Source organism: Homo sapiens, chromosome 6 (genome assembly GCF_000001405.40).
Source record: "Homo sapiens chromosome 6, GRCh38.p14 Primary Assembly".
Classification (NCBI taxonomy): domain Eukaryota; kingdom Metazoa; phylum Chordata; class Mammalia; order Primates; family Hominidae; genus Homo; species Homo sapiens.
The window spans coordinates 1,686,086-1,700,181 of NC_000006.12; the positions used below are offsets into that span (position 1 = coordinate 1,686,086).

The window sequence follows — 14,096 nt, forward strand, 5'->3', positions numbered from 1 at the left end:
GTGGTGGCAGAAGAAGCGAAGTCTGTAGCCCTCATTACAGACCCTTTGCTGGCTGGGGGCATGTGGCTGTGAGAGAGGAGCAGAACTGAAGCCAGTTTCTCCTGCTCTGCACTCTGAAACCCGAGATGACGCGGCCTCTTTCCCGCACAACAGTGTAGAGCGTTCAGTTGGTGTTATGACTTGTCTGGTTCCCACAGAGGAAGGAATCCTGCCAAATATTTGTAATCTGCACTTAAGTATGCAATCAGGGAAACCACACCCAGAAGCAAGTGCATGGCTACATAATTAAAATGGTCTTGCTGGAAGACCAACTGGAAATGGTTGGAGAGGGTGTGGGGGGAAGCTGATGAGTGAGTGTCACTGGGATCTCTGACACTTTGGCCATCATTCTCTGCAAAACATTTTCTCCTTAGACTCTAGCAAGCACGCATCTTTCTCTGTGTCCACTGATTAGTCACAGTATTTGTCTTTGTATAACCATTTAAGAAAATATTTGCATCTATTTAAAGGATCTAAATAGATCCCCCCCGGGTTGGCTTGTATTTATGGCATAAGCCATAATGGAATGTACTTATATGCAAACCATCTTTCCCTCTGAGTAAAGCATTTTGGCACATTTTCTATGACAGCACTGAGTCACAGTGCACAGTACATTAACGCAGCAACTTCTGAAATTGAGCTGCCCAGGTTGCAGGGCTGGCAATGCTTTATAAAAGGGTTAAAACCATTCACTCTGAGGTACTGGTAAGATAAAGGACTAAACAAACTAATGTGTTATCCTTGGAGGCAATACAATTTTTTTAAATGAAATTACTGAAATTAGTAAGGATTAAATTTAATTTTTATAGTCAGATAATAGCTACCAGCAGCGCCATCTGTTGAAATATTCCAAAACTTCATTTCCTGCATCCCAAATAATATTTACTTAAAGGAAGATACAAATGTTTAAAATCACAAGTAGGACTGGAACTCCATCCTCAGTTTTAGGCAAAATCACAACTATAATATTTTCCAGGACAAGAGGCGCCACCCCGTTTGTCAGGCCCCAGAGATGTCCTTACCTACATCAGTAACCCCTTCAAGGTTCACGAACCTTCTCACTGACAAAAAACTCCCATAACAGAAACGAAAGAGCTCCTGTTCAACTACAGCAACACCCCCAAGGCTTGAACATCAGGAAGGACGTGAACAGCACCTGCTACCTAGACTCTCCCGCACTTCACGGGCTGGTTGGGTTTCAGACCTGGAAGTGGCGCAGGCCTCCAACCTCCAGGGGAGGAGGATGAGGCCAATGTTCTAGGTCAAGGTCTTGCCTAAGATCAGACAGGTGGTAGGTATCAAGGTCAGGAGCTGCATTCAGGCCCCAGGTGTTCTGAATTTCAGCCCAGAACGCTTCCCATTGGATTCCAGGGCCAATACTAACTCCTCCACTCAGCAGGCCATCAGCAAGCTCCTGTGTTCCAGGCACCGTCCTTCTCCTGTGTTCCAGGCACCGTCCTTGACACTAGGGAGAGAGTTGCCAGCACAATGGACAGGGCCCTTAGCCATGCAGCTTCCATTCTAGCGGGAGGAGAGACACAAAGAGGCAGGTGAAGAACGTGAGGGGGGTTCAGAGAAGCCACGGAGGCTTCTCTGATGCAGAGACTGAAAGAGTGTGGGGAGCAGTCCTGCCCTCTAACTTTCTGGGGGAGGAGCAGGTGTCAGTGCCCCAAGGTGAAGCTGAAGGGTCAGTGTGGTTGGAGAGAGGGCATGGGGGTAAGAGGGCAGGAGCTAAGCGGGGTGAGGTTGGGGCGGGGCAGGTCATGGAGAACACTGTAAGCTGCGGGAAGGACCTGGAATTCCACTGAGAGAGCTGTAAAGCCACAGGTGGGTTCTGAATGAGAGGTAATGTGGTCTCACTTACGTAAAAAGTGCCACTATCTTCACAATGGGCTGTAGGAGGGCAAGAATGGAGGCCGTGAGGCTCTTAAATCCACAGCAGAGAGGATGGCGGCTTTGTTTAGCGGGGCTTGGGAGGCTGGTGAGACACAGCTGGATTCTGGGTTGATTTCCGAAGGAGAGTGAGTGAACCGTTCGCTGATGGATAAGTTGTGGGGTGTGAGAGAGGGAGGGGAGTCAATGTTGACTCTGATGCTTTGGGGTTTCAGCAAAAAGAATACCAGCATTTGCTGAGCACCTACTAAGTGTCAAGCATATTTTCTCTACCAGTCTCAGAAACTCTCAAGTGTGGGCATTTGCCCCCATTACACAGATGAACGACGGCTCGTGGAAACCCCGCACCTTGCTATGGTCACGCACGTGGAGCGTGCTGTGTGGAATACAAGCTGGTCTACCTCTTTTTCTTCCTCCTACTTGGATCTGCTTCCAGCAATCAAGCAACTCCAGTTCCCTCCACCTTCTAAAGTTTGTGTGTGTTTCTACATTACATCCTCTCCGTGATTCTCCTCTGAAACCTCTCCACGCTCTTCAAAGCATATATTTAGCTATTGAGTCACAAATCCACTGCAGCTCTCATGAGGTCTTTATCTTAAATACCAGCCAAAAAGAAAGAATTTGCCTGGGGACTTAATACTCCCATGTAGAGTTTAATTTATGTTAAACGTATTTCTGTAATGGTCTTCATTAGAGGCACCAAGATGGGATACAGTAGCTATTATATAAAGATAGCCAGCTAACACTTGTGAGGTATATGCAGATTTTGGGGGTACTGCCTTTTCCAATTGACAGCATCTGTTTGAGGAATGTGAGTTTATTTTATTTTTTTAAAGTCAGCTCTCTACATATTCCTGCAAGTTTTGGAAGGGAAATAAATGATAGCACTTCAACATCAGCCATTTTCCCTAAAAATCACTTAAAACTGACATTAGAGAATGCAGATGTGGATGATCATTACTGTAGAGGTTACTTTCTTATAACATGTTCTTGCTATGAGGGTTGCATTGAAAAATGAGGCTCTGAAACGATAACCTTTGGGCCATAATAAGCACCAGTGACCTTTTACATGGACAGACACAAAGTTATTTTTATTAAATCAAGCTGAGGTTGTGGTTGTGTCAGATATATATTTTTAACCATGGTAGAGTTGCAGGAGGAATGGCCTGTGTGGGATTCCATACTTCAAACTTGGTAGAATACAGTTAGGGAAGGATTCTGCAACCACTTCTCTCTTCCTCTTCATCGGACTGCTCCACACCCAATACTGCAAACATGAGTCAAGAGAGCCCATAAAATTACCCAAGTGTAGGCCTACCTCACAATGAATACTTGAAAGCTTTCACTAGCATTATAAAGTAACTTTTCATTCTTTGAATGATCTGTCTCATGAGTAATGTCATCTAGCAATGTAGCAAGGTAGGACACTCCCCCTGAATAACAAGCAGTGTGGAACTGAAATAGAGATATAATGTTAGAAATGACACCACCTCTTTGAATCAGATACATTTGTATCTTCTGGTATAAGACAATGGATATTAGGAGTAAATATGTTCCTGGCAACCCTAAGTAAACTTGAAAATTCAGGGTTGAGCCCATCCCTCACTGACACACAAATCTCCTTCTTATTGCTTTTCTGTCCTGCAACTATTTATCTTCCCAGGATTTTTGTCCAACAACATTGTCTACAATTCTAATTCAACGGTCACCTTGGCAAAGGATTAATATACTGTAATGTCTAGCAAATGATCACCTCATAAACGTCTTCTGAAAAATTGTAATAAAGTGAAGACGCGTGATTTCCTTAGGTCAAGAGGAGCATACCTGGATTAATCATAAATGAGTATTCACACTGGCTTACAACAGCATAGAAAACAAGTTGAAATATATGTAGATAACATAAAGCATGACCACTGATTAATAAGATTGCTTTTATTAATCAAAATAAAACTGGGTACCCATCTGTAATCCCACCTACTAGGGAGGCTAAGGCAGGAGAATCTCTTGAACCCGGGAGGCAGAGGCTGTAGTGAACCGAGATCGCATCACTGCACTCCAGCCTGGGAGACAGAGTAAGACCTTGTCTCAAGAATAACAATAACAAACAAACCAACCCACAAAAAACTGGGCACCCATTTACATATACAAATAATTTGAGCATCATTTGTTTTAAAGAAAACATCTTTTGCTGTGCAAAAGCTCTTTAGTTTAATTAGATCCCATTTGTCAATTTTTGCTTTTGTTGCAACTGCTTTTGACGTTTTTGTCATGAAATCTTTGCCCGTGCCTATGTATGGTATTGCCTAGATTTTCTTCTAGGGTTTTATAGTTCGAGATTTTACATTTAAGTCTTTAATCCATCTTGAGTTAATTTCTGTGTAAGGTATAAGGAAGGGGTCAAGTTTCAATTTTTTGCATATAGCTAGCCAGTTCTCCCAATACTTTATGAAATAGGGAATCCTTCCCCCATTGTTTGTTTTTGTCAGGTCTGTTGAAGATCAGACGGTTGTAGACGTGCAGTCTTATTCCTGAGTCCCCATCAGAGTGAACAGACAACCTACGGAATGGGAGAAAAGTTTTGCAATCTATCCATCTGACAAAGGTCTAATATGCAGAGTCTACACGGAACCTAAACAAATTTACAAGAAAAAAACCAAACAACTCCATTAAAAAGTGGGCAAAGGACACAAACACACACTTCTCAAAAGAAGACATTTATGCAGCCAACAAACATATAAAAAGAAGCTCAACATCGCTGATCATTAGTGAAATGCAAATCAAAACCACAGTGAGATACCATCTCAAACCAGTCAGAATGGTGATTATTAAAGTCAAGAAACCACAGATGTTGGCAAGGCTGTGGAGAGATAGGGACGCTTTTACACTGTTGGTGGGAATGTAAATTAGTTCAACCATTGTGGATGACAGTGTGGCAATTTCTCAAAGACCTAGAGGAAGAAATAGCATTTGACCCAGCAATCCAATTACTGGGTATATACCCAAAGGAACATAAACCATTCTATTATAAAAATATATGCACACATATGTTCATTGCAGTGCTAGTCACAATAGCAAAGACATGGACTCAACCCAAATGCTAATCAATGATAGACTGGATAAAGAAAATGTAGTACATATATACCATGGAATACTACGAAAACATAAAAAGGAATGAGTTCATGTCCTTTGCAGGGACATCGATGAAGCTGGAAGCCATTACCCTCAGCAAACTAATGCAGGAACAGAAAACCAAACACCACATGTTCTCACTCGTAAGTGGGAGCTGAACAATGAGAACACATGGACACGGGGAGGGGCACACACACTGGGGCCTGTTGCGGGGGGTGTGGGGGAGGGAGAGCATCAGGAAAAATAGCTAATGCATGCTGGCCTTAATACTTAGGTGATGGGTTGACAGGTGCAGCAAACCACCATGGCATACGTTCACCTAAGTAACAAACCTGCACATCCTGCACATGGTCCCCGGAATTTAAAATAAAATAAAAATAAAAATAAAGTGATCTTAGAAGTCTACTATTACCTATACCAGTCTTGGTTCAAAATACGTCTTAAGTGTCCCTTTGGGAACTGCCTTAACAGTGGGTCTACAAGGCACATTAGAAAAGCAGTTTTATATGGTATAGTTACAGTGTTCTAAAATTTATTTTGCCCTAACAGCTTTATTAAGGTATATAATTAACATACAATAAAGAGATGGCATCCTATCTGTGCTCCTATGTAAACATATCATGTCCTTTTTCTCTGGCTACCTTTAACATTTTTGTTTATCACTGGTTTTGTGCTGTATGATTATGAAGGACCTCAGTGCAGTTTTTTTCATGTTTCTTTTGTTGGGATTTGTGGTGGTTAATACTGAATGTCAACTTGACTGGATTGAAGGATGCAAAGTATTGTTCCTGGGTGTGTCTGTGAGGGAGTTGCCAAAGGAGATCAACATTTGAGTCCGTGGACTGGGAGAAGCAGACCCACCCTCAGTCTGGGTGGTCAGCATCTAATCAGCTGCCAGTGTAAAAGCAGACATGGGAAGGGCAGACTTGCTGAGCCTTCTGGCCTCCATCTTCCTCCCATGCTAGATGCTTCCTGCCCTGGAACATCAGACTCCAAGTTCTTCAGCTTTTGAACTCTTGGACTTATACTAGTGATTTGCCAGGGGCTCTTGGGCCTTCGGCCACAGACTGAAGGCTGCACTATAGGCTTCCCTGCTTTTAAGGTTTTGGGACTCGGACTGGCTTCCTGGTTCCTCGGCTTGCAGACAGCCTATGGTGGGACTTCACCCTGTGACCATGTGAGTCAGTTCTCCTAATAAACTACCCTTCATATATTCATCTATCCTATTAGTTCTGTCCCTCTAGAGAATGCTGACTAATACAGGGTTTGTTGAGCTTCTTGGATATTTGTGTTCGTAGTTTTCATGAAATTTGGAAAAAAATGTTTAGCATTATTTCTTCAAATATCTTTTCTGTCCTCCCCTCCTTTTTGGGGACTCCAATTACACACATACATTAGGGCATTGGAAGTTGTCCTCCAGAACTGATTCTCTGTTAATTTTTTTAAAATTCTGTTTTTCTGTTTCATATTACATAGTCCCTATTGCTACGTCTTCAAGTTCACTAATCTTTTCTTTTACAATGTCTAATACGCCATTAATTATGTCAATGTAATTTTCATGACAGACATTATAGATTTCATCTTTAAGTTCAATCTGAGTGTCTTCTTTATATCTTCCTTCTACTTAACTTTCTTAACATACAGAATAAGGTTCTAAAAATTAGTTTAACATCTCTACTGCTAATTCTAACATCTGCATCAGTTCTGGGTTGATTTTGATTGGTTCTTTTTCTCTTGTTTAGGGGATATATTTTCCTGCTTCTTTGCAAGCTTGGTAATTTTTTATTGGATGCCATTAATTGTGAAATTTATCTTCTGGGGCAGTAGATATTTTTGTATTCCTGTACATACTCTTGAACTTCGTTTCTGGGACCCAGTTATGTTACTTGGAAGCAGCGGTACTTTTGGCTCCTCCTTTCGTGATTTGTTAGGCAGGTCTGGAGCAGCCAGTGCCCCTTCTAAGAGGCAAGACCCTTCCGAACACCCTACCAATGCCCTGTGGATTTTAATCTTTTCCAGTCTGGCTGGTGGAAACAGGCCACCTTCCCAGCCCTGTGTGAACATTCAGTACTGTTCCCTCTAATCCTTTTGGATGGTTGTTCCCCAGCCTTAGGTAGTTTCCTCCTGTGCTGATCAGCACTGCCCTGACTGCTCCAGGGGCACCTCTGCAGATCTCTGGAGCAATCACTGCAATTCTCCTCACCTCTGCCCTGCGTTCTCTTACCAGTCCGGCTGCCCTGAACTCTGTCCTCTAAGCTTAGGGAACTTGCTGGGCTCTGCCCGAATCCTGTCCCCATGCCTCATCCTGTTCAGTCTCCCAGCAGTGAGCTAGGGTACTCGAAGGGCTCACCTCATTTGTTTCCTGTATCTCAGAGGTTACTGTCCTCCGTTGCCTGACATCCAGTGTGTACTAAAAAACATATTTCCATATATTTTTGTTGTTGTTGTTGTTGTTTTGTCTTTTGGGCAGGAGGGCAAATCTGTCCCTGTCACTCCATCTTGGCTGGAAGTGGCTGTCTTAATGCTAGTGTTTAGTATCACTCAATGCGGCCATCAACTTGGCAAGGGTTGACTTTGGATTACTTTTTCTTATTTCAGGAAAATAAAATGGCAAAGATAAAGTTCTGTTACTAGCAAGCACAGTTACTAGTTTGTTTTCTCTGTTATCATTTACTGAGCACGTGCTATGTACCCTCCAAGTAGGCTGTGCTTTATGTACATTTTTCTTATTTTAATCTAACAAACTTATAAAACAAATACTATGAGTTTTATTTTATATAAGAGGAAACTGGAACTTAGAGAGTCAAATAACTTGCCCAAGGTTATACAACTAGCAGGTGACAGGGCTGAGTTGAAAACAAGTTTCTCCAATTCCAAAGACTGTTTTTATTCACTGCAGTTCTGAAGGCACTAAAGAGAAGATCCTGGGCCCCCAAAGTGTGTTTGAACAATGGTAGCATTGTTAAAATACATAATTCTCTGATGACTTGACAAAGCATAATGATGCCAATTACTCTCTTTTACTGATTCTACTATGCTACGGATTGTAAGAGGTACTATTATTTTATCTGTCCGTAAGAAGGAAAAAAATCTACCCATTAAACCACAGCATAGTGTTTTAGATGCCGTTAATTTTAGGGTGGATCTCAATTTTAGCATTGTTAAAAAAGAAACAATATGCATATTAAAATCAATAAAATGATACAGTATCATGTACTGGGTACTACTGTTGCTTTTGATTCTTTCAACAACCCTAAAAGGTAGTCATTGTGGTATGCATTTACAGAAGTAGAAACTGAGGCTCAGGCTCAAGGGTAGGTGACATGTCTAAGGTCACACTGCAGTAAATGGCAGTGCCAGACTTTTGCTACTTCTTATATGCTTGTCAAAAAAATCAGTCCTATTAAAATCAAACATATGCTTTTAATGGCATGTCAAGCCCATGTGTGTATACACACACGTCTGCACACATGTATATGCCTAGGTGCTCCCTAGGAGTTATATTTGCTTTAGTAGCATAGCAAGAGGTGGAAATAGGATAAATGAGTGTGTTGGCAGAATGACATTTCTCATCTGCCCACAATCTAGTGAATAAACAATTACGTCGTGAAGGTTACATAAACTTAGAAAAAGCTTATAGTATTTATTGCAGCAATAACCAAATTTTAAACTAGGACATACACCTGTCCAAATGAAAAGTACCTATTACTTTTATAGATTCCTACCTAGTTTTGTGCAGTAAGACCCAGAGCCAACCCTGCTTTGGAAGGTGTTTGTCTAACGTTCTTTGAGTAAGGAATGCTTCCTCACAATACCACAGAGGAGGGTGCCATTTCAAGTAGAATTTCTTTGTTTTCTTGTTAATTCTGTATCTCTTCAGTGTAAAACACAGAGAACAGAGTCATATTTCTTTCTATGAGCAAATTAAAAAAAAATAACAAACTTCCCTGAGGATAAAAGTGTGAGGACGGTCATTTACTTGGATTGACAAATGCAGCCCATGACGGGGTCCAGGAAAGCTCGTCTGCACAATATACCACCAGTTCACTAGGTGACGTGGAGAATCCTGAAGAGTCTGGCTACTGTTTAAGATCCTCATTTCTGATATGAGTTAGAAATCTCCACAGTGAGTGAATCTTAAATTTGGAGTCTTCTGTAAAAACTGAACCAATGAATAGCATTGAAACGGTAGAATGAAATTCAACTACCTTTGAGGCCTCACATCAGTAATCCCCTCTACAAAATCATAGTTATCTTAATGCAAAGACTGCTGTAATCCTGGCCTTGCAATGCACTATTTTTCATCTGAATGGTTCAACTGTGTGTCCTATTTCAGAAGAGGAAGGGGTGACAGTGACATACAGGGCACAGATTTTCTGTATGTTATATTGGTAATCATAGAGGGCTCTCTCATGCAGCAGTAGATAACGTCTAACAGCCAGTTCTTTCTCAACATCAGCATCAGCATGTGGCCATGACAAATGAAGTCTGGAAGTAGCTCTTGGCAGAATCCTTAAGGCTGCAACAGAAGATGTGTGCTTTTCCCTGCAAGGCCCCTGTGTGCAGGGACCCTGCCCTGTCACTCTGAGGTCCTGGCACCGCCTCTTCAGAGTCCCACGTGTTCTTTTCCAGGCTCAAACTTAAGAGCCTGGTTTCCAGTGACTTGGCCCTGAGAACAAACAGTGCTGAGATGAAGCCTGTGGCTCCATGAGCAAGCTGAACGTGGCCAGAAGGCAATCACAACATTCTTTTCTGTCTTGGTTTTTTTTTTTTTTTCTTTTTTTTTTTTTTTAATTTTAGCTTTGATGACAAAAACAATGCTGGAGGAGAGTGAGAGCACCAAGTTGAACCCACGTGGACCAGCTTTGACGATGAAGCTACAGGCAGCCAAGTCAACTCACACATAGAGAAAGTGGAAAAAGAACAGAAAAGCAGGAGACAGAAACAAAAACATGCAGGAGAGGGTGATTCTGTTCCATGATCTTGGCTCAGTGCTCCAGGGTTCCTAATGTTTCAGCAAAAAGAAAATCACTGTAATGAAATGTAATGAGACCCTTTGACACTGAGGAAGTGACAACTCAGGCTTGGCCTTCTACCACACACCTATAATCTGTGACTTGCAACAGAACTTTTCCCGAAGAGCGCAGTCCTCCCTGAGCAAAATGGCTAGGGCCTACGCCGTGATTTGCTGCTCTGGAATGGGACACACATGTTGCTAATCCTTGCAAAACCAGCTGAAGAACCATTTTCCTCCTGAGAATTTTCTTCTGTTCACTGCTAATTTTGGCTACTTTAGTTGCTTTGTTTCTCCTCCACTTAAGTAAATATTCCTCGAGTTGATGTGCCAAACCTCTCTTTTGGAATAACAGAAGGTTTAACACATATATGCTCACAGGGACAGCGCTTTCACACGTTACTGACAGCTTCATAGACATCATTTCTATTTCTCCTCAAGACAAGCTAAGGCAGAAGGTAAGGCAGACATTATGATGTCCATTTCACAGATGCGGAAAGTGAGGCTCAGAGGGGTTAAAAGATGACCTGATACAAGTCATAGAGCCGGTATCTGGAAGAAGCAGGAGCAAAGTCCAGGCATCCTGATCCAAGCTAGGTCCACTGCCTTCCACTCTGGAGAGGCTTCATCTCCAACAGAGGAAGGGACGTGAGTGGCTGGAAAATCTCATGGATGAAGAGCCTCAGATTTCATGCTCCTTGGAGTCACATGGTAAAACAACAAGTGTTTGGCCTGTGGTTCTGTCACTTTTACCATCTGTGACCCTGGGGTAAATAATGGCATCTTTAAGCATTTGTTTTTGAAAGATGGAAATGATGATAATTAGCTGATTGGGCTGCAGTGAGAAGAAAACAGGCTGGTACATGGATGATGCAGAGAAGTATGTCTGTCACACCGTAGGAGCCCAACAGCCCATGCGTTACTTCAGACAATGGCAGCTGTTTGGCTGTGTGAGCCCAAATGCCATAAGTGGGCATGTTTAAGGTGGATGTGATTCCTACGTATGCCTCCTGAGGAACAATTAACATCCCTAAAGATTGTTGCAGTGCGTTGACGGCAGGTGTCCCCCAAACTCTAAGTGTCCTGTGGAACCTGGGGCAACACACTCACAGCCTTTCCCACAGGGCTTCCTCCGAGCCAGATACCAGCAATGTAGACAAAGCATTTGGGAAGTTGGATCAATAGTGAAGGTGGCCAATTCATCCCAGGTTGCCCAGGACTTTCTCATTTTCAGCAAGAATAATCCTGTGCCCCAGGGCAAACTGGGACAGCTGGTCACCCTGTCAATCATAGAGTCTAGGCTGGTAACAAAATTAAAAAGCTAGAAACCTATTTCTTATAGGCTATTCCTTAATAGAAAACAATGCAAAAACCTTGGCGCGCTGCAGCCTCATGTTCTGAACCAATGGTTCTCAAAGTATGGTCCCCAAACCAGGCCAGCAGCATCAGCGTCACATGAGAACTTGTTAGAAAAACAAATTTGGGGCACCATGCACACCTCACGAGTCAGAAACTGTGGGAATCAGGCCTAGGAATCTGGGTTTGAATGAGCCTTCTGGGTGTTTCTGATGCTTGTGCAAGTCTGAGAACCACTGGTCCAGACCATAAGTAGAAGTCAGACTAGATGCCAAGGAGAACTAAAACAATGCAAGCTCACGAGAGGAAGCTTTCTTCCTTTGTCATGATCCCTCCATTTTGGATTGCTCAAACTGAACGGGGAAAATATGATGGAAGCACTTCCTGCTCTCTTGTTCCATGGGAATCCAGTATGGCTGCGGACGATCAAGGTTAAAGTATCTCCGTAAAGTAACACACTGACAAGAAAGGCACCTTTAGGGGAGTCAAGCATATCATTTCATCTGTGGCCACATGTGAATGCTAGCTATGTATATGTTCTAAAAAGCAAAGAGTAGACAAAGAGGAGCGCCGCCCAGCCTCCCAACACCAGAGTCTCACTTCCTCTCCTCAGCTGGCGCTCTGGGGCCGGACTCCAGTAATAACAGCCTCCTGGGGAGATTAAAGCCCTGGCAAGCACAGTTTATCTTGGTGAATGTATACTTTAGCTTTGTGTGTATCTACACATATACATACACTGCAGTATTTATAGCTGGTATACATGTGAGGTAGCGCTGGAGACAAGGCCTGGAATGGGTGTACAACACCTATGAGGTTGGAACCAAGATCTTTTAAACGCAAACCTGGTTTCCCTGAACTGTCCTCCACCCGTGTGGTCCAAACACACACTCAGGTGTTTCGGGAAGAACATCCTCCCTCCCTGCAAATAGGGGCAGCAGTCTTTCTTCTGTTTCCAGAAAGAGTTGAGTATTTTGTGGTGGCTTCTTTCATCTCTGGGGACTTTGCTTATTAGAAAAATACACAGAATCACCGCTCTCCCGAGTAAGGAAATGAGATGGCCGGGAGGTGAGCTGAGTCAGGACCGCTGCTTTAAGCCAAGTCTACAGGGTTGGTATTGAGGTGGAGACGCTTCTCAGAGTGCAGCACAGCCCACTCTGAGAAGGGCAGGCATGGGGGCCATCCGGCCCCAGTGCCCACGTGTGCGCGACCCTGGACAGAGGGCGGCCTCCAGTGGCAGTGCTGCTCTGTGGCACACTGAGGCCTGGTTTCCCTTTTTTTTTTTTTTTTTTGGTGGGGGCACATATTTCCTCAGGAAGGAGCAGATAAGTTCCTCCTTAGGCTTGTGAATACTTTCTTGTCACCTGGCCAAATGGAATTCCAACGATATTGTGAAGAGGCAGTGCCACTTCACAGCAGACACTCACAACAAGCCACAGTCATGGGGTGGTCAAAACTCCCAATCTCCATTTTCATGCAAAGCTGAATGGGCAGCTCAGACCTTTAAAAAGTGTCATGAACACATAGGTCCTCTTAGTCTCTGTCTACTTGACAAGATCTCTTAGTGTCCATGTGTGATAGAACAGCACATGCCTACACTGTGTGGAGTGAGGGGCTGCCAGAGCCACACGGTGTAGCCTTCTGTCCCCCATGGAGGCATGGGTGAGAGGAGAGACACAAGACAGAGAGGAAGACTGCACATCAGGCTGCGGAAATGAGCTTGAGGGTTTATGTTTTGAGGTTGCAAAGAAAAGAAGAAAAATAAGGAAGATGGGGGTGGGGAGAAAGAACAAGCTGGGTGAGGGGAGGAGGAGGGATGTACAGGAGATGGCCTGAGGCAGCCAGGAGGGGTCTCCAGGAGGGCCTAACTGTGGAGGTTGCTGAGAGGCTAGAGGGGAGAGGCTGGAGCCAGTCCAGCCTAACACATTAACGCAGGTGTAGGGGTTTAAAACAATACGTGTCGATCCTCTTACGTTCTTGGTGTGGGCAGGGCTGGCTGCCTCTAGAGGCTCCCGGAAAGAACCCGTTCCCTTGCCTTGTCCAGCTTCTAGAGGCGCCTACACCCCTTGGCTCGCAGCCCCTTCCTTGAATCACCCTGACCCCGCTTCGTCTTCACTGCTCCTTTTCTGACTCTGACCCTCCTGCCTTCCTCCTATAAGGACCTTGTGGTTACCATTAGGGCTCCCTGGAAAATCCAGGACCATCTCCAGACCCTTCACTCAATCCCATTTGCAAAGTCTCTGGATTATCATGTAAGGTGACATAGCCACGTATTCTAGAATTAGCATGGGGACTTCCTTGGGGGTGGGGACATTCTCCTGTGTGCCACAGAGATTAGGATGGCAGCACGCCGTCTGCTGTGACTCCTCCCTGGCACAGCTGAGGGGCACACACAGCCTCCATACGCAGAGGCAGCTGGCCTAAGCCCTGGGGCTCAGCATCTCACCCATGTTCTCCAGGCCCAGGTGAGGAGAACAGCAGCTCACACGTGCAGAATGTGAACATTCTGCAAAAGGGAGATATTTTTGCATTCTTTTTCTATAGAAGAACCACCCCCTCCGCACCGACACCAAAGTGTATGAGCTCCCACAAAAGTTGGATCTGTCCCTGCATACTAATTTTGTCCATCTATTCAAAGTGCAGGGAAAGGAACATTTCTTTAAGGAAA

At 43.9% G+C, this 14,096-nt stretch overlaps 1 protein-coding gene across 5 annotated transcripts in view; it reads right to left on the reverse strand.

Moving 5' to 3' along the window:
- GMDS (GDP-mannose 4,6-dehydratase) overlaps positions 1 to 14,096 on the reverse strand; it is a 621,800-nt gene that overhangs the window by 62,280 nt on the left and 545,424 nt on the right. Inside the window, exon 10 of one of the 5 annotated variants that reach the window (XM_011514502.4) lies at positions 3,850 to 4,489. The exons of the other annotated variants lie outside the window; for them this stretch is intronic. Within the exon in view, the coding sequence (XP_011512804.1) occupies positions 4,472 to 4,489 (18 nt within the window). The 3' untranslated portion in view covers positions 3,850 to 4,471. Of the gene's footprint in view, positions 1 to 3,849; positions 4,490 to 14,096 lie in introns of those variants that run through there. 5 annotated transcript variants of the gene reach the window in all.